This window comes from Homo sapiens, chromosome 10, assembly GCF_000001405.40.
Source record: "Homo sapiens chromosome 10, GRCh38.p14 Primary Assembly".
NCBI lineage: Eukaryota > Metazoa > Chordata > Mammalia > Primates > Hominidae > Homo > Homo sapiens.
Window position 1 is genome coordinate 12,646,769 of NC_000010.11, and position 20,054 is coordinate 12,666,822.

The following is a 20,054-nucleotide window of genomic DNA, read 5'->3' on the forward strand; positions in this document are numbered from 1 at the left end:
TTACTCGATTACCTAAAAACTCTTTATCGTTCAGTTGTTGTGTTGCAGTCTTTTATTTATTTTTATTTTTAATTTTTAATTTTTAATTTTGTTTGCAGAGTCTCACTCTGTCACCCAGGCTGGAGTGCAGTGGTGCGATTTCGGCTCACTGCAATTTGCTCCTTCCAGGCTCAAGTGATTCTCCTACCTTAGCATCCTGAGTAGCTGGGATTATAGGGCATGTGCCACCTCGCCTGGCTAATTTTTGTAGTTTTAGTAGAGATGGGGTTTCACCGTGTTGGCCAGGCTGGTCTCGAACTCCTGACTTTGTGATCCGCCCACCTCAGCCTCCCAAAGTGCTGGGATTATAGACGTGAGCCTCCTTGCCCAGGCTAGCCTTTTTTTTTTTTTTTTTTTTTTGAAATGGAGTCTCACTCTTGTTGCCCAGGCTGGAGTGCAGTGACGCGATCTTGGCTCACTGCAACCTCTGTTCCCAGTTGAAGCGATCCTCCTGACTCAGCCTCCCGAGTAGCTAGGATTACAGGCACCTGCTACCACACCTGGCTAATTTTTGTATTTTTAGTAGAGACTAGGTTTCACCATGTTGGCCAGGCTGGTCTCGAACTCTTGACCTCAAGTGACCCACGTGCCTCGGCCTCCCAAAGTGCTAGGATTACAGGCATGAGCCACCTCACCCAGCCCTCCGCCTAGTTTTTTACTTCAGAAACATATTACAGTTTCCTTAAAATTTTTCTGTATACCAATGCTTTGTAGAAAAGCAGTTGTTGTAAATATATATATACATATTTCCATCTATGAATATATATTGAGAGGGAGAGAGGCTGACTTTCAGTTGGGCGGGAATTGTTCTGTATTCCAGAAGAATGTTCCATTCTTAGACCTGGGTAAGAGGAACCCCTGCTTTAGGAGATTCTGTCCTGGCCATGAGCCAGCCATGCCCTTCCCATGGAGTGAGATGTCTGCAGGGTGAAGGACATAGGGCCAAGGACATCTTTCCACCCAATGCTTGTGGGTGTGTGCTTACTCAGGAGTTCTTGACCTCAGAAATTCTTCTGAAGCAACTTTGAATGCACTTCTGGGGCCCATATGGACTGCTTCCTGGGACCCTCCTCCTGAGAGCCGGCAGCACTGTTGATGGGATGTCCTTAGGCCAAGGCAGGTCTGTGTGCAGGTGTGCAGATGGAGCTTGGATCTGCAGGCCAAAGTTCTGGACAGTCAGAGATAGGATGCAAAGCATCGAGGAGGCCACTCTTGCCATGATGCCATCTTGCGAAGAGTCCAAGAATTCAAAATTCAAACCTGGTAGAGGGTAGAACATTCTTTATTGAATCATTTGCTGTTTTGATTTATAACTTTATAAAAAAGCTATTTTTTATAGACCTTAAAGACATTATATTCCAGGACATACAGCCATTGTAACCAGCTAAGAGTTCGTGGGGCACTCACTTAATTCTCCCGTCTGTAAATGGAGGGCTGGCTAGAATATTGGTTTCCAGATTTACCTAATCATTAGAGTTACTAGAGACTTTTAAAAATGTTCCTGATTCCCAGGTTCCCCCTGCCTAGCGATGGCGTTTCAGTAGGACTGGGTAAGAGCTGGTAATGGTTATGTTTTCAGTGCTCCGCAGGGATATTGATGATCAGTAATGGCTACTCCGCTAGATGGACTTCAGTGTCTTTCGCTTGCTATTTATTTATTTATTTACTTACTTACTTTTTTGAGATGGAGTTTCGCTCTTTCATCTAGGCTGGAGTGAAGTGGTGTGATCTTGACTCACTGCAACCTCCGCCCCCCAGATTCAAGCGATTCTTCTGCCTCAGCCTCCCAAGTAGCTGGGATTACAGGCATGCGCCACCATGCCTGGCTAATTTTTGTATTTTTAGTAGAGGTGGGGTTTCGCTATCTTGGCCAGGCTGGTCTTGAACTCCTGACCTCAGGTGATCCACCCACCTCAGCCTCCCGAAGTGCTGGGATTACAGGTGTGAGCCACCACACCCGGTCTCTCTTTTTATTTAATCTTCACTTCAAAGATCCTTTTTTAGTACGTGTAGAAATCAGGGGCTAGTGTTCATCTGAAGAGATTTTGTATAATAGGCATCTGTTTGAATTTATTTTTTAATTTTTTGGAGACAAGGTCTTGCTCTGTTGCCTAGACTGGAGAGCAGTGGTGCAGTCATAACCTTGACCTCCTGGGCTCAAGTCATCCACCGCCTCAGCCTTCTGAGTAGCTGGAACTACAGACACCCACCACCATGCTCAGCTAATTTTTAAAAATGTTTTTACAGACCGGGTTTTACTATGTTGCCCAGGCTGGTCTTGACCTCCTGGCTTCAAGCAGGCCTCTCACTTTGTCTCTCGAGTAGCTGGGATGACAGGCACGTGCTCCCACACCCAGCAACTCAATATCTTTTACAATCTGTGCTTTGCCAAGTTGGCGTACACACTAACACAGAGAGGCAGTTTACACAGAAAGTTCATTACCTTGACTCTGCGCTGTGTTGTCAGGTTCCAAGTGTGAGTGAATGTTAAGATAGGAAGAAAAGAGCCAGCAGATAGATGGATGTGTGTCTGAAAGAAAGGGGAGGTCGGCTGGCAAATGGCCAGGAGCTGTGTGCTGGGGGGAGCCCATGGGAACTCGATATGGGTTAAGGCTGGTCCCCTCTGCGTCCACGGAAATTCCACCAAGTAGCTGGTGCCTTCTGCATTCAAGGTGTTTGTTGTTAAAGAGGAGAAAATCTTTCAGACATGTACAGGGTATTTTCTGAAGACACAGGTATTCAGTCAATGGTATTCTAATTCTGGAGATATAGGAATACGCCAAAGAAAGAAACCCCAGATAATGACAGATCATGTTTTTGTTTTTTGTTTTTCTTTCCTCTGGCAGTCCCCCTTTTCTTTAGAAACAAAAAAAAATGTTGGTGAAAAGAATAATGAAGTTGACATGTTGCAGGATACGTTTTGCCATCATCACCTCTGAAGAGCTCCTAACTCCAACTCATTCTCCAAGGAAATCTCGACATTTACACTCTGGTCAAATGGACTTTCTCCACTTGTTCATGATGAAACAAAAATGTATATCAACTTTTCACTTGGGAAATTAAAAGTGGAGTAAAGTGAAGTTCCAAGTTTCAAGTCACCCCATGAGTGGGAGCGAGAGGGTCAGGACTCCAAGCAGGGTTTCCCAGGAACGATTTCACCGTGTTCAACTTCAGCATCTCTGCAAGAGAAAACACCGCCTTTAGTTTTTCTGGAGCTGAAGTTTTACACTTGGCATATTACTTTTTAGTTCCTTTAGGATAAAACCCGCACAGGTGACCTTGGTGACAAAGCCCCTCACAGCAGTCCCTCCTCTACCCTTGGAGGGGCTGCCGACCACGTGAGTGTTCTGTTTGGCTGTAGTGCCCTCATGCTTCTCTGCCCTTGCTGATGTGGTTCCCTCTCTCTGACATGCTCTTTTCCTTTGCCTTCCTGTGCAGGGCTCACCAGCCCAGACTGGAGCGCAGATTGATCCTGGGGAGCAGCCCGACCAGCGTGCCAGGGGCAGGGTCAGATGCCAGGGCAGGGCTGTGCCCGCATAGCCCTGTGTCTGGCTCTCTGGCAGGACATTGGTCGTGCTGTGTCATGATGTTTACGTACACTTCTGTCTTCTCACACTGGCCTGGGAGCCACCTGGTTTCAGGGACTGTGTTTTATCTATCTTCAGGGCCCTGCTGCCTAGCCTCATGCCTGGCACTCCTGGGTCCCTTCTCTGTGTTTTATGAAGCCTAGGTTTGTGGGTTTTATGTGAGGTGTCTGCACACAACGTGCCGCAATGCCGTTCCAGGGTCCCTCATGTGCAGTGGACATGGCAAAAGGGCAGTGGGGACCATAACAGACTGTGCCTCCCTGTCCCTCCCCTGCCCACTCCACCCGCCCCAATCTGCAGCGCAGCTGGAGCATCCTTGTGCCGCGTTCTCTTGTGATGTCCTAACGGCTGTTGTATTAAGCAGAGCTTTCATGTGTTTATTTATTATCAAAAACATCAGCTCTGCAGACACTTAGTCCACCAGCAGCATCATCCCTCACTCTACAAGGATAAAAAGAGAGAGGAAAAAGGATGCATGGGGAAAAAAACCCATCAGGGGGTTCATCTCGCCCCACACCCTTACTGCAGGGTTCCACACCTGCCAGTCTTCCTCCCCCAGATTCGAGTTCGCTTCCCCTAAGGCTCCCTGGATTAAGCTTCACACATCCCGACGGGGCTTCATGAGACTGGGAATGAATCTGGAAACAGGCTTTTGCCGGCTTTTTACGATTTACGGCACTTTGCTCCCACCTCCTCCTTCCTCCCCGTGTTTCTTTACCCCTCCACTGTTTTCAGCGTCCTCCCCCTGAGACAAATCATTCTGCCAGGTTCTCTGCCTGCCTAGTGAACTAAACAGTAACGGCTTTGCGCCCCAAGCCCCACCTCTGATGAAATAGCAACTCAAACACTGTGGGTCCAGCAACTGTGGGACTTTAAACTGGGCTTAAGGAAGGTGGCCAGACATTTATGCCTACATACAGACAGGTGTGTGTATGCGCACATCTCCGCCTTTGGCCCACTGTTGGCTTCTTCCTGATTTTAACACAACTTTTAATTTTATTTTATTCATGTTTTTGAAATGGAGTCTCACTCTGTCACTCAGGCTGGAGTGCAGTGGTGCAGTCATGGTTCATTGCGGCCTCAACTTCCCAGTCTCAGGAGATCCTCCCACCTTAGCCTCCTGGGTAGCTGGGACCACAGGCACGTGCCACCACACCCAGCTAATTTTTGTATTTTTTTTTTCTTTTTGGAGAGACGGGATTTCACCGTGTTGTCCAGGCTGGTCTCAAACTCCTGGGTTCAAGTGATCCTCCCGCCTTGGCCTCGCAAAGTACTGGGATTACAGGCGTGAGCCATACTGCCTGGACAACTTCTTTTTTGTTTTTAAAGAAACTGTAAAGAGGCCAAAGATTTAGGACAAAGGAGCTCATTACCATCTTTGGAAATAACTTTTTTTTTTTTTGAGACGGAGTCCCGTTCTGTCGCCCAGGCTGGAGTGCAGTGGCGCGATCTCGGCTCACTGCAAGCCACCTGCCCTGGGTTCACGCCATTCTCCTGCCTCAGCCTCCCAAGTAGCTGGGACTACAGGTGCCCGCCACCACGCCCCGCTAATTTTTTTGTATTTTCAGTAGAGATGGGGTTTCACTGTGTTAGCCAGGATGGCCTCTATCTCCTGACCTCGTGATCTGCCCGCCTCGGCCTCCCAAAGTGCTGGGATTACAGGCGTGACCACCGCGCCCGGCCGGAAATAACTTTTTGAGGGAAGATCTTCTCTTTGTATTTGAAAATGTGTCAGTAATAGTCTTTACTAGTTGGAGTGGGGAAGAAAGCTTTTAATTTCACTTTTGAATTGTTGATTACACTGGTTCCCTCCACTCCCTTGCCCCCATCTTTATTCTGTTTTTTGTTTGTTTATTTTTCTTCACTTTTTAGTAGGAGAGTCTTCTTTAAAAACAAATTCCCTAGGGCTGGGTGCTGTGGCTCACGCCTGTAATCCCAGCACTTTGGGAGGCAGAGATGGGCGGATCACAAGGTCAGGAGATCAAGACCATCCTGGCTAACACGGTGAAACCCCGTCACTACTAAAAATACAAAAAAAAAAAAAAAAGCCGGGCGTGGTGGCGGGCGCCTGTAGTCCCAGCTACTTGGGAGGCTGAGGCAGGGGAATGGTGTGACCCCACGAGGCGGAGCTTGCAGTGAGCAGAGAGTGCACCACTGCACTCCAGCCTGGGCGACAGAGCGAGACTCCATCTCGAAAAAAAAAAGAAAGAAAGAAAACTAGGTGAATAGTAACGAGTTTATTAGCCACAACCTATTTGTAATGTCATTCCTGAGAATTTGCAAATAGCCCTGGAGGTTACACTAGGAAGTTTCTTGAGTTGACATCCTTGATCATAGTCTTTTATTAGCAGGATATAATAGAACTATAAGCTCAGACCACCTTAGCATTTAACAATGATCTATCATAAAACTGCAATTTGGAGAGGTGGATGTGTATTACACACCCCTCGTTTAAAAAACATCAACAAAGCAAAACATGCTGCTCTTTTTAATTGTGACTCATCTCAGTTATGAAGAAATTAATTCTTAAGAAAGAATACGGTGTCTTAGTTCGTTTTCTATAACTTATAACAAAATAGCTGAAACTGGGTAGTTTATAAAGAACCTTTTCTTTATTTCTTACAGTTGTGGAGGCTGGGAAGTCCAAGGTGGAGGGGCTGCATCTAGTGAGAACCTTCTTGCTGTGGGGAACTCTTTCTGCAGAGTCCTGAGGCATTGTGGGGCATCACATGGCTGGGGGGCTGAGCGTGCTCATGTGCTAGCTTAGGTCTCCCTTCCTCTTAAAAAACCACCAGCCCACTCCTGTGATGACCCATTAATCCACAAATGGGTTAATCTATTCATAAGGGCAGAACCCTTGTGATTCAGTCACCTCTAAAAGGCCCCACCTCACAATACTGCCACATTAGGGATTGCATTTCAGTGTGAGTTTTGGAGGAAACAAATATTCATACCATAGCACAGAGTTGTCCTTATTATGCACACTGATAGAGATGATCAGAAAATAAGAAATTATGTTTAAAAACACACATACAATGAACCACAAACACCCTAATTCATTCCCAACATATGAGTGCTTGAAAGATGTTTTCTTCCATTGGAATGTGCCTGGTTATCTGAAGCCTGAGTGTGACCTGAGCCAACCATGTGACAACGTTAATTACTGATGTGCAAAAATTAAAGAACACTCAATTCTGCACCATCATCTCTGAATGTGGGCACTTTCCCAGAATGATGAGGAACATTATACAGTATGAGTTCAATCCCCCTAAGTCTGACAGTGAACTGAAATTAGATGGTTGTTCAAAACAGACTTCCCTCTCTGTTTTTCATCTTACTATTTTCATCTCATCTTTTTCTTTTACAATTGGCTTCCCACTTTCTAAATAAATGTTGCCATACCCCAGTAGCTTTAGTGCAATGCCTAGGATCATTTTGGCCTGTGTTCCTGATGCTTCATTATCTCGTTTGAATGAAAGAGCAGCACTGGGTCCTCCAATTTCAGTAGGTGCTATTCAGGGCACCTGTTGGCTTGACATGGTCATGGGTTTGAGTTGTGAAATATGGACCCTTCCATGTGGGTATCAGCACAGAGAAAGCACAGGACATTAGTGGTAGGAAAGAAAAAAGAAACAATACCTTTCCCCTAGATTCCAGTGCATTATTTTGTTTCCCTTCCACTTACTTATCCTCATATAAATGCAAGTGTTCAGAGCTAGAAACCTCAAAGATGCTTCCTGAATTCAAGCCCAGCGTCTTCAATCTGGGGCACAGAGTATGTGAAGGAAGCTGCAGGATACACCCCAGCAGTTCTGTGTCATTAACAGTATTTCATACAGGAATAGCTTCTAAATTCACCTTGTAAGCATCCACAGTGAATCTGAAACAAGCTTTCTGAGATTTCCCTTTCTAAGGTGATTTGGTGTATGTGGGTTCTCACATCAGTGAAGCTAGGAAATCCAAGCTACAAGAGTTAATCTCTGTTTCAAGGCGGGTAAACACCTTAATGTTTTCTGAGACTCCTGGTGCTAATTTTCATGTTTAAAATGCCCACAGAAATATATATTACCCTTTGACAAAAAGTTACCAAAAGATTCAAAGAAGGAAATGACAGTATTCCTTTAAATGTGTTAGTGTTTCAAAGTCTTGCTAAGAAATAGTAGAAGAAGTATTACTAATACTACTTGCTAAGAAATATTAGTTGCTAATACTATTATACTTGCTAAGAAATGTTATTTTTTTCATATTCTTATCCTGAGAGGAGTAATGGGTTGGCCATGTAGCCTTAAATCTTTATCCTTAGGACACCCTGGATCTTAACCTTTAAAAATCAGACTTATTATCAAATAAATGTATTCAGCCTAGATAAATTTAAAATGGGCACGGAAGCCACGAAGTTATCAGCTCTGAAGTATCTAAAGTTGAACCCTTTCCCATGACCTAAGATTCTCAGTAATTTAGTAATAAATGACTTACCAGTGGTTCTCAAACTTGGCTGCACGTTTGAATCACTGGAGAAACTATAAAGAACTTGTTACGCCTAGGCCACGCCGCAGGCCAATCAAATCATAATCTCCAAAAATGTTCCAGTTATTAGTACATTTGGAACTCCTCAGATAATTCTAGCACGTATCTGAGCTTGAGACCCATTGGATTAGGCCGTTCCTGCATTGCTATACAGAAATACCTGAGCCTGGGTAATTTATAGGAAAAGAGGTTTAATTGGCTCACAGTTCTGCAGGCTGTACAGGAAGCATAGTGCTGGCATCTGCTCGGCTTTTAGGGAGACCTCAGGAAACTTACACTCATGATGGAAGGCAAAGGGGGAGCAGGCATGTCACATGGTGAAAGCAGGATCGAGAGAGAGTGGGAGGGGGAGGTGCCACACAAGAAGCCACTGTCGCAAAGACAGCACCAAGCCATGAGGGATCCACCCCCATGACTTGAACACTGCCCTCTAGACCCCATGTTCAAGCATTGAGGATTGAAATTCAAGATGAGATTTGGGCAAGAAAAACTATCCAAACTGTATCACCCATTCACTGGTAACTTCTCATGGATGGTAACAGAAATAGGAAAGAAATACACAGTCAAATCTTAGAACCTTTTTTCATTCTGGTGTGTAGCTTTGGAATGTCTGGAGTCTGTAAGACTTTTGGAAGGTGAGAATTAATTGTTCATTCATTCATTCATTCTTCCATAAACATTCCTTGAGTGTTGATATGTGCTGGATTTTTCACACTGGATTTTTCACACTGAACTGGACCTAACTTATTTCTCCTTTGGTCGAAAGACCGCCAGGCCTCAGCTGGACCTCTAGAGCCATTCTAGACAAGAGCAAATCACTTGGGCGTTTCTGTATTAGTCCAGGCATTGTGGATGCTGATGTGGGAGAAGGAAAAGTGGGTCTTTTCTGTGTAAACAACTTCATGTCTCAAGAAAATTCTGTTCTGTGTCCAGCTGACAAACTTGTCTGTGCAGATAAAGAACCTATTGATGCACAAGTTGTCACCAGGCTTCTGTGTAGCAAAGACTATTCCAGAGAACACTGAATATGGACTTAGAGTCAAAGTTGATGGTTCTCATAGATACCTTAATGCACTTTGCCTCATTATAAGTTTAGATTCATTGATTGTTAGAGTTGGAAGAGACCTTGGGGACTTTCTGGTCTGGCTGGTTGATTTCTAGACAAGGAAACCGAGACCCAGGAAGGGGATGTGACCAGAATGTGGTCATAGTGTCAGAGACAGAACCAGCTCGTTGATGCCCCTCCTGTGGGACCATTACAGGCTCTAGCACTGCATCCCTACACATATGAGTGCTAGCTATGCCCCCACAGTGGGTACCCTGCATTGTACTAAGGAGGCCTGGGGTGCTATTAAGAAAATACCTTCAGGACCAGCCTGGGTAACATGGTGAAATCCCATCTCTACAAAAATATGCCAAAATTAGCTGGGTGTGGTGGCACATGCCTGTGGTCCTAGCTACTTGGGAGACTGAGGTGGGAGGATCACTTGAGCCTGGGAGGCAGAGGTTGCAGTGAACCGAAACCACACCACTGCGCTCCAGCCTGGGTGACGGAGTGAGAGACCCTGTTTCAAAAAAAAGAGAAAAGAAAAAAACCGCCATTTGTGCACAAGGGTTTTTATTGTCATTTGTTTGTTTGTTTATAAGGATTCAAGGAAAAACTCATTTCACAATCAGTATCAACATGTAGTACTTAATCTTTAAAAAACAACAACAAAACTAGCTTACAGACTTAAGAGCTTAGTTGATTTAGGTATCATAGTCTTGGCTCCTTAGTTGCCCATTGAGTATAGCTCCATCTTCTGGCAGCAAAGAGAGGTGATTTGAAGCTTAGGATTTTGAATTCTGCTCATTTCTTGAAGTGGCCTATGGTCTACAACACAAGATCTCTAACTATACAGTAATATGTTACATGTGTGTGTGTATATACATTTTTTTTACATAAACACATATATATACACGTGGATAGATAAATAACAAGATGACATATTTTGATGTTCATTTAACAAATGAGAAATCAAATCAGAAAGTATTTAACGACTTGTTCAAAGTCTTGCAGTTAGATGTATCAGAGCTAAGACGCAAGCTAATCTCTTGATTGCTTGTGCAATTCCACTAATCAGTATGCATTTCTTTTTGTGTGCACTTTTATGGATATATTTTGGTAAACTTGGTGAACTTGGTTAATGATTTTCATCAAGAACTTTTTAAAAGCACCTTTCTGGCCAGGCACGGTGGCTCATGCCTGTAATCCCAGCACTTTGGGAGGCCGAGGCAGGCTGATCACGAGGTCAAGAGATCGAGACCATCCTGGCCAACATGGTGAAACCCCGTCTCTACTAAAAATACAAAAATTAGCTGAGTGTGGTGGCGCATGCCTGTAGTTCCAGCTACTCGGGAGGCTGAGGCAGGAGAATCGCTTGAACCTAGGAGGCTGAGGTTGCATTGAGCTGAGATTGTGCCACTGCACTCCAGCCTAGTGATGGAGAGAGACTCTGTCTCATAAAAATAAATAAATAAATAAATAAATAAATAAAAACACCTTTCTGTAAAAGTTGGGCAATACAACAGTTTAGCAACTTGACTGTTCTTGGGTTCAGTGAGAGAATGAAGCGCTAATGCTTAAGACATTTATTGTCTACACTAAATTAACTTTCTCCTTTGCAGCTAGAATGGTGCTGTCTTGGAGGACTGAGAAAGTAGTCACTTGAATCATTTTCTGTGTTCTGTGGTTCAGATGAAGAGCCCCAGTTGAGGAAAAACTGGAAAGTGAGAATCTTCTACTCTAGTACTTTCTGAAGTGTTTACTCACTGGTTTGATATGTATCCCTCTAGATGTTTTACTCTGCCTGTAAGATCATTTAAATATACACACACACATTTACATACAAACAGATACCTGGATACAATGCAGTACAGACAGCAAGGTGATCCAAGAACTGGGGTGGGCCAGGTGCGGTGGCTCACACCTGTAATCCCAGCACCTTGGGAGGCTGAGGCGGGCGGATCAACTGAGGCCAGGAGTTCGAGACAGCCTGACCAATGTGGTGAAACCCTGTCTCTACTAAAAATACAAAAATTAGCTGGGCATGGTGGCACGTACCTGTAGTCCTAGCTACTCGGGAGGCTGAGAGGAGAATTGCTTGAGCCCAGGAGGTGGAGGTTGCAGTGAGCCGAGATCGTGCCACTGCACTCCAGCCTGGGTGACAGAATGAGACTCTGTCTCAAAAAAAACAAAGAACTGGGGTGACCCAGAGGAAAGGTGATTGGTGCTGCAAGCTGTGAGAAACAGCAAAGGGTTCTCAGTGGAGGTGATAGAGAAATGAGTCTTAAAGGATGAGTATTTTCGTAAGAAGACAGGAGAGTGATGAGCACACTCAGAGACGAAGGTGTGCATGGCTGGGGAGGGCGGGGTGTGCGAGACCTGCCGGGGTTCAGTAAAATGTTGGTGTGGGGCAGGGTGGAAGATGATGTGGGATGGGCAAGTAAAGACCAAGTGATAGGGGAGGGGGGCAGGGAAGTGCTTGGGAAAGGGAAAGTCATGGTCCATGCCTAGTGCTCCACCCCCAGGCCTATGTGCACAAAACTAGGTAAGGACAGGCATTTCTGTTTTTGTGCCCAAATGTTGCCTTCCCCAAGACCACCCTGGCCCACCATGTCCCCATCCTGTGCCTATAAAAACCCTGAGACCCTAGTGGGCACACACACAAATGGCTGGACATCAAGAGGAATGCACCGGCAGACCCACAGGCAGCAGAAGACACCATCAGGCCATTGACCAGCAGAAGGACGTGGAGTTTGGCTGGGGCAGTTGGAGGAGAGCCCAGCCGCTGGGCAGCATGACTCCAGGGGAAACCACCTTCCCACTCCATTCCCCTTCTGGCCTCCCCTTCCACCTCACTGAGAGCTACCACTCCATAAGAAACTTTGCACTCATTCTCCAAGCCCACGTGTGATCCGATTTTTCCGGTACACCAAGGCAAGAACCCCAGGATACAGAAAGCCCTCTGTCCTTGTGATAAGGCAGAGGGTCTAATAGAGCTGATTAACACAAGCTGCTTACAGATGGCAAAACTAAAAGAGCACCCTGTAACACATGCCCACTGGGGCTTCGGAAGCTGTAAGCATTCACCCCAGATGCTGCTGTGGGGTCGGAGGCCCACAGCCTGCCCGTCTGCATGCTCCCCTAGGATTATCAACAGCTGGCACTGAGAACGTGAGCCAGTCCCCCTGTCGCACACCCTGCAAGTGGGATAAGGGAACTTTTCCCATTTCACAAGTAACAAGTGACTTGTAAGCCATGCCAGTTGTTTGAACTTTCTCCTGTACTACAGGGAGCCAGTGCTGGATTTCATGCTAAGAAGTTTTATCAGTTCTATATTTTGGAGAGATCACTCAGGAGACAGCACGGAAAATGGATAGGAAGAGAGTGAGACCAGAGGGAGTTGGGGAGAACAATTAAGTGATTATAAACTGTGAGTGATCATCTGTGAGATAGGAATAATAATGCCTACTTTATAAGGCTGTTGCAGAATGAAATAACACCTGCCAATGTGCCTGTTTATTAAAATGAAAGGTATTACTTTTAATACCATCTGGCCAATATTTCAGTGCTATCACTGTTCTTGTGACTGACAATATCCCAATTTTCTCAGCATTATTTCCCACACTGATTATAATGTGAGAAAACAAGAATTTGACCCTAGTAAGGAGGAAATGATTTTTTTTTCAGTTTCGAAAAAACATAAGCGTTTACTTAGATAAACGGGAGGGTTTGCCAAGACATCACAATATTCTTCAAGTACTTTTGAGGCAATTCCATGCCAGGGAACCACGCCTCTCTTTTTGTGTGAATAAAATTTCAGCTTTCTGGGCTGCTTAGAGTGACAATGGTGGGTAGTGAAAGACCTGGTCCTCTATGGCCTTTGCTTGCGGAGAGAGGCCTTTCCCAGACTAGACTGTAAACCCGGAAGTGCCTGAAAAGCGGACCGGAAGCTGATTGCGGCTCGTTGACGTAACTTTCTCCTTGCACATTGCAGGGCAATCTGTGCCTCGCTATCCCCACCTCATCCTCTCTTATAATCAGTTTCACTCTTGTCTCTCCCTTCCGATTGTATTTTCTTACATCCCTTGTCTTCATCTGGCGTTCATAACCTAAGTAGGTCAATGCCCATTACTAGAGAATGGCAATAGCAAGGAAAGGCATTTTGTGGTCTTTTGCTTCCTCTGAATTACCTCATAATTGCTTCCAGGGATGCCCTGCAGATCAGTAAAATGATCGAATGGAAAAAGTGAGAAATGCTGAACTTTTTTTCTCCTCTCTTTTGTGCTTTGCTTTTTCTTTCTTTTTCTTAAATTTTCCTCATTTGCCATGGAGTTAAAAATTTGTGAATCCTTGAACTGGGGTACATGAGGCTGGAGGGGAAGATGTTACTCTCACTCCACAGAAGCACGTGTAGTCAGTAGCAGGCTGACCCTTTGGGTCCTGATGTTCCCTTACAAAGCTTGGGGGCTTTGTAACGGGGCCTGTTTGTACATTTGGTATCAGTTATTTTTTATGCATGAATTAATTTTAAAATGTTTTCTTGGCTTTTTCTGGAGTTTTCTTGCTTGGCTGTCAGTTACTATATGGACAGAAGTCTGCTTCAATGCCCATGTGCTTTTTTCCCATTCAAGTTGACTCTCTCTGCCTGGACCCACTTCCCTCTACCATTTCTGTGCATTATTGGAGATTATGGAGGCTTTCATGTAGGTTGCCATATAAACCATTTTCTCTCTGTATATAGATGTGTCAGCTCATGCTTACTTTGGGCCTGGTAAATGATAAGTGATGAAAATTAAGTTGAGTTTCTTTTTATCACCTGAAGTTGTTTTCAGTGACATTATTATGGCTTTGAATTACGCACATTTCAGGACATTTTGCTGTTTGAGAGTCAACATCCCTTATGGATGAAGATCCTCTTGGCCATACTTTGGAAAGAGTGTTGACCTCTGGGATTTCGCTGTGCTAGTTGACAGAATCTCCATTTTCCATTTGCCTATAACTGACATCTCTGCCTCTTTTCTCTGTTCAGTTGATTCTCTTTTTTGATGACACTAGCAGATATGGGCTAAGGAGAACCTCTTTCTAATTACTCTGGACTTCTCCCTATTCCTTCTGCTTTTCAACATGTCTTTTTCTGATTCTGTCTGACCCACTGGAATTTCATCTGTTAGGATGTTTACAACCGAGTATCTTGAGCACATCCACTAGATTCAAGATAATTCAACAAATCTCTGCACCCACAGAAGTGGATATTATATTGTTAATGATGGCATTAATACTTTGACTTTAGATATTCTAATTTTATAGAAATAACTGAATTTATATGAGCTCTTGGATAGTCTCATAACTTAGTTAAGTTATAGCGTAATTGCTTTAACATGGGCTAGGGAGTGAGAATAGACATAGATTGAATCTCAGCAATGACAATTATGAGTTCTGTGATCTTGGAATACTTACCTAGCCTCATGGGATCTTAGTCTCCTTCCTTATTTTCTCCTCTTTTAAAAATTGAGAAAATAATACCTACTTCATGGGCTTGTTGTTAATGGTAAATGAAATAATTAAAAATACTTAGTGCAGTCTTAACACATAGTTAACAATAAATGGTACAATAAAACAGCAATGTAAGCAAGGCCTAACAAAAGTTATAAAATTAGCTCATCACTAGGTTTAGATCTGTGACATCCCAGGGGACTGAGGAAATTGCACTTATCACAGAAGAGTCACAGCTGAAATGTTTGAGAAAACAATGTAAGAGAGGTTGTCAAAATTCCCAAACATATAAAGGGTAGAAGATGAGATCTATAGACTGGAAAGCTTGACTTCAATGCACAGCAAAATTCTGGAACAGAAAATTAAGCAGATGGTTTGTGATCATTTAGTAAAGACTGTAGTGGTTGCTAGGAGCTAACATGGGTTACTAAGAACAAATCTTCCCGAACATCCCATTTCCCTTTTAAATAGTATTATGTGGTGTGTAGAGCTGAAGAATTCTACTTCTGCAAAGCATCTAATTGTCTCCTTATGGATGGGATGGTAAAACACAGGCTAGATGATAGTACTGCTAGGTTTGCAGCTAGAGAGCAATTGAAGCCAGCTGATTAACGTCATGGTTATCTTGATGCGGGTCTCTGGTGGAATACCATGGAGCTCTGACATGTAACCTTCCATTTAAAATTTTAATTAGGAATTTGAATGAAGACACATGGGATGGATATTTACCAAGTACACAGATGGCCCAAAGTTGGGAGGGATAATAAGAGCAATAGATGAGTCAATCAACATTCAGAACACTGCTGATCATCTGAAACGCTGCATGGAATCCAGAATGATTGGATTTAATGAAGCTAAAGGTGAAGACATTAAGCTCTCACAATATCAACCCGAGTAAGAAAGGAGATTGTGGGCTGGGTTCAATGGCTCACGCCTGTAATCCCAGCACTTTGGGAGGCCGAGATGGGCGGATCACGAGGTCAGGGATGGAGACCATCCTGACTAACGCGGTGAAACCCTGTCTCTACTAAAAATACAAAAAATCAGCCGGGCATGGTGGCGGGCGCCTGTGGTCCCAGCTACCAGGGAGGCTGAGGCAGGGGAATGGCATGAACCCGGGGGGCGGAGCTTGCAGTGAGCCGAGATTGCACCACTGCACTCCAGCCTCGGAGACAGAGCAACACTCTGCCTCAAAAAAAAAAAAAGGAGATTGTGTTTGGTAGAACTTCAGATTAAAATGATCTGGTGATTTAATTGGCCCTAAACTGGATATTCAGTAATTAACTATGTGCCATGCTCTTTGTTTGGCACTGGGGTGACAGTAGTGAAACAGTCAAAAATCCCTCCCTACCTGGAGTTTATATTTTCTGTGTGCCAGTGGTTATGCATTGGCTCAAAACTACGACAATGAACTTGTTAGCTTTTATTGGTAGAAGTATAATATCCAGTTCATGTTGGTTACTAGTTCTCCTTTCCTTGTTTTTTTTGTTTGTTTGTTTTTGTTTTCGTTTTTGTTTTTGAGACAGAGTTTTGCTCTGGTTGCCCAGGCTGGAGTGCAATGGCACGATCTCAGCTCACTGCAACCTCTGCCTCGCAGGTTCAAACGATTGTCCTGCCTCAGCCTCTGAGTAGCTGGGATTACAGGCACATGCCGCCACGCCCAGCTGATTTTTGTATTTTTAGTAGGAATGGGGTTTCACCATGTTGGCCAGGCTGGTCTGGAACTCCTGACCTCAAGTGACCTGCCCACCTCGGCCTCCCAAAGTGCTGGGATTACAGGCATGAGCAACCGTGCCCGGCCTCTACTTTACTATTTAATACCGTATTCATGATACTGTATTTTACCCTGGGATCAGTATTTCCAGATCTGAATGCTAGAGTCTGGACAAATGAGTGATGATAGAGCAATGAGAAGAATATAAACCGTATTGTAGGAAGACTGGTCAGCATTGAGAAGACTAAGCAGAGGCATTATATCCCTCAAATCTGTGCAGGATATATGGGAAGAAGGTGGAAGCTAGTTCTCTGTTGGTCCTAGGAGTCATTACTAATGACCAGGAGGCTGATTTCTGGTAAGTGTGAGACAGGCTGTCTGAGAAGCGTTCTAGCTCCAGCCAGTGCATGAGTACCAGGAGGGCTGAGACTGCCTTTCTTGTGTCTCGTTCTCCACCAAATTCAGAGTACCTAGGACTGTGCCTGATACATGGCAGGCACCCAACAGATATTTATTGAATGAATAATGAAAAGAGGAAATTGAGCATGAAATGAGCCTTTGCCTGGAATAGGCCTTCATTTGGTGCTTGTGCCCTACTTCTAGGGCACAATGCATGGATAGTCGTATGGCATTTTTTGAAAATAACTCATGCACTAAAATAATGTTAAAACTTTACGTTCAGATTTTGCACATTGTAAGCAATGTGAGGGTGGAATAAAGTACCTGAGAACAGATGTGGGAGGCCAGAATAATTTTTTTTAACCATGTTTGAACAGCTCCAAGTTAATTAAACCACTTTTCTTAAGAGACATTAAGAGGCCATTTTAGGATTTATTTGAAATTTCTCAAGTATGCTTATTCAAACATTACTCATTCCAGCTCAACTCCCAGCAACTTCTTGAGACCTTCTCCATAATTCTGACCCATTCAGGGCTCTGCTTTCTCTGAACTTAAAGGCAATTCTACAGAATTTAGCATTTGATTCTTTTCTAATTTCTTCCTGAGTTTCTCTGCCTAGATGATAAGCTTTTTGATAGCAAAACTTTATTTTTTATTTTTCTTTTCTTCCAGACACATAGCAGAAACGCAGCAAATGACAATTGCTTGATTGGTTGATGGAGAGATATTAATAAAGTGTCTTTCCAGCCACTGTGAAACTGCTATTTGGGATTGTCCTTGCTGTGTGCAACACTTCTCTGGAACGCTGCAATGGATTAAAAGCAGTTTCTAGTCAGCACTCATGTAAGACATAGCAGGTTAATAGGCTTTAATTCTCTATCCCGTGTATCAAAGGAGGGGAATGTAGTCCTAATTTATTGGGGTCCGCAATGATAGCTAGGCAAGTGCTTTGTGTTATTGTTGAATCTGAATGAATGACTGGACTCTGGGGCTCAGACAGCCTTCTTGACTCAACCTCCAAGGCAAGCCAGGGCTGCAGGTGCCAATCTCTAAACCCAATTTAGAGATTGAGTGATGTAAGCAGAGTGATTAGATTTAGCACGTGAAAATACAGCATGCCCAGTTACCTCTGAATTTCAGATAAACAACCATGCAATACTTGGGACGTACTTAAACTACAAAAGTATTCACCGTTTTGCTACAGTTCAGATGTAACTGTGTGCCATGCATTTTCTCTGGCCACTCTTCATATAATCCCATTCCTCCTATTTCTCCAGAAATCTAGGCTCTTCATTAACTCTCAAATGAGCTGGACTAAAAGAAAATGTTTATGAGCATGTGATTGATTCCAATTGCAAATTAAAACAATTTTTCCAAAAAGGGAAAATCTACGTGATGCCTACTTTTTGTGGGCATATTCTTTTAGGTAGATCCAATAATGATAATGCCGTGATTTGTAGGATCTTGGTAGTCTCAAGTTAAGCTCTCTTGGTTTCCTTGGTGGCATAGTTTATTTTCATATGCTGTATGGCTGGTAGTATCTTGCTCAGACCACGTAGAAACTATGGCTGACAAATAATTAGACTCTATTCTTTGGAATCAGGTGGAAGGTGAATTTAGTATAATCTATTGTTTTAGCTCCTGCAAAACAACTGCATTAACTACTACAAGCTGTAGAATTCAAAGGAAAGCTTTACCAGTCTTTGTTAATTATCTTGTTCTCTTTCATCTCAAAAAGAAGATAATATTCTTGTTTGTTTTCCACCTTATAAACTTCTTTCGCGGGGAAGACATCACACATTTAGGAAAATGGTTTCCGTTTTTCCTAACTAAATAAGGTTTCTTGCTGTTTAGCGGCAACAGCCTTTCAATATCATTCATTCATTCAGCAAGCATTTATTCAGCAGATCTGTGCTAGGCACCAGGAGCAAACAAAATGAATAATGTAGTTCTAGCTTTCAAGAGGTTCACAAGAATCTGCGTGTTCTGTGCTTGTCTTTAAATGGTTCAGCAGTCATTTCAATGAGAGGCTTATGGTAAGAGCTAATTATCACCTTGAGTAATGAAATCATTTTTTTTTCTGTCACATGCTTTAAATAATGTCAAGCCTTACATTCTGAGCAGAAACTGCTCTTAATGGATAGTGCCAACGGCTAGAATTCGGCTGTTTCCTTCTGCCCTGGTTCTTGAGTTAGAACTTGGTTATTCAGAGTGCAGTCTGCAGATCGGCAGTACCGATATCTCCTGGGAGCTGGTTGGAAATGCAGCCTTCGAGGCCCCAAGCAAACCTGCTGACGCAGGGCCTGCAGTGGGGCCAGACCCCCAGGCGATTCATCTGCACGTTGAAGTTTGAGCAGCGCTGGTCTAACACAGTATTTCTCAAGCTCTAGTTTACACGTGTAGATTATCTGAGCATCTTATTACAATACTGATTCCTGGGCTCTGCCCTCAACTTGTGTACTCTGTGCTTGTCGTGGGGCCTGATAATTTGCATTCCTGCTAAGCTCTTTGTAGATGCTGGTGCTGCCTGTTTGAGAACCACACTTTGAGTAGCACTGATCTAGTTTGCTTGGGAAGCTGAAGTGACATTTGGTAGTGGGGTGGGGTGGGGGGACATGAACCCCAGTGAGGGAGTCAGGTTGGTTTTTTTTTTCCTTACACTGGACCCATGGACATGCCAGAGAAACTGTTCCCTGGAACATATATATTCTCCAGTGTCTCACCAGGTCTCCCTGCTCCCTGACATATGCCTGTCATGGGGGATAGATTTTCATATAATTAAGTGGTCAGGCAAGTCCGTGATGGCCACTGGGAGACAACAGAAGAGGGAATAATTCTGCCCAGTGGCTCAGCCCTCTGAGTTGGGCTCTACAAGATAATAGGTTTGGCCCATTTCTGGGATTCACATGAAGCAACAATTGTTAATCCACTCTTGCTAAACTGTAGGGTATTGAGCCTTAGGAACGAAGAGGAATGGAGATCAGGGAAGGACTGTTAGGAAATGGGTCTGGAAAAAGTCTGGGGACAACATTGTGAAGTCTGAAATCTTTTTGTTCAGGAGTTTGGATTCTGTTTTGTAACTTTTTGCTACAATGCTGTCTGTTTTGAAACATTTTCCTATCTAATCATACTCACTATTTTGTGCGTCTATTTTTTTTTTCAGGATTAAGCATGAAAATATTGTTGCCCTGGAAGACATTTATGAAAGCCCAAATCACCTGTACTTGGTCATGCAGCTGTAAGTACCTTG

At 43.8% G+C, this 20,054-nt stretch overlaps 1 protein-coding gene and 1 non-coding gene across 11 annotated transcripts in view, besides 2 other annotated features; one reads left to right on the top strand and one right to left on the bottom strand.

The window, feature by feature from the left end:
• CAMK1D (calcium/calmodulin dependent protein kinase ID) overlaps positions 1-20,054 on the top strand; it is a 485,999-nt gene that overhangs the window by 297,222 nt on the left and 168,723 nt on the right. For 7 of the 10 annotated variants that reach the window (XM_006717483.5, NM_153498.4, XM_006717482.4 and 4 more), the window contains one exon: positions 19,968-20,042. In XM_006717483.5, the coding sequence (XP_006717546.1) occupies positions 19,968-20,042 (75 nt within the window). Of the gene's footprint in view, positions 1-3,313; positions 3,378-16,465; positions 17,648-17,706; positions 18,841-19,967; positions 20,043-20,054 lie in introns of those variants that run through there. The other 3 variants (XM_011519595.4, XM_011519593.4, XM_011519592.4) reach the window with 3 other exon arrangements.
• On the bottom strand, positions 6,370-6,429 carry MIR4481 (microRNA 4481). The gene has a single exon (NR_039701.1). It is a non-coding gene; the product is annotated as a microRNA 4481 (primary transcript).
• Positions 9,434-9,493: an enhancer, noted in NCBI's record as "active region_3048". NCBI's record gives its function as "activates an Ori minimal core promoter by ATAC-STARR-seq in GM12878 lymphoblastoid cells {active_cell/tissue: GM12878}" and the evidence as "EXISTENCE:reporter gene assay evidence [ECO:0000049][PMID:35858748]".
• Positions 9,822-10,116: a silencer, noted in NCBI's record as "tiled region #13393; HepG2 Repressive DNase unmatched - State 12:CtcfO". NCBI's record gives its function as "represses a minimal TATA promoter and a strong SV40 promoter by Sharpr-MPRA in HepG2 cells {active_cell/tissue: HepG2}" and the evidence as "EXISTENCE:reporter gene assay evidence [ECO:0000049][PMID:27701403]".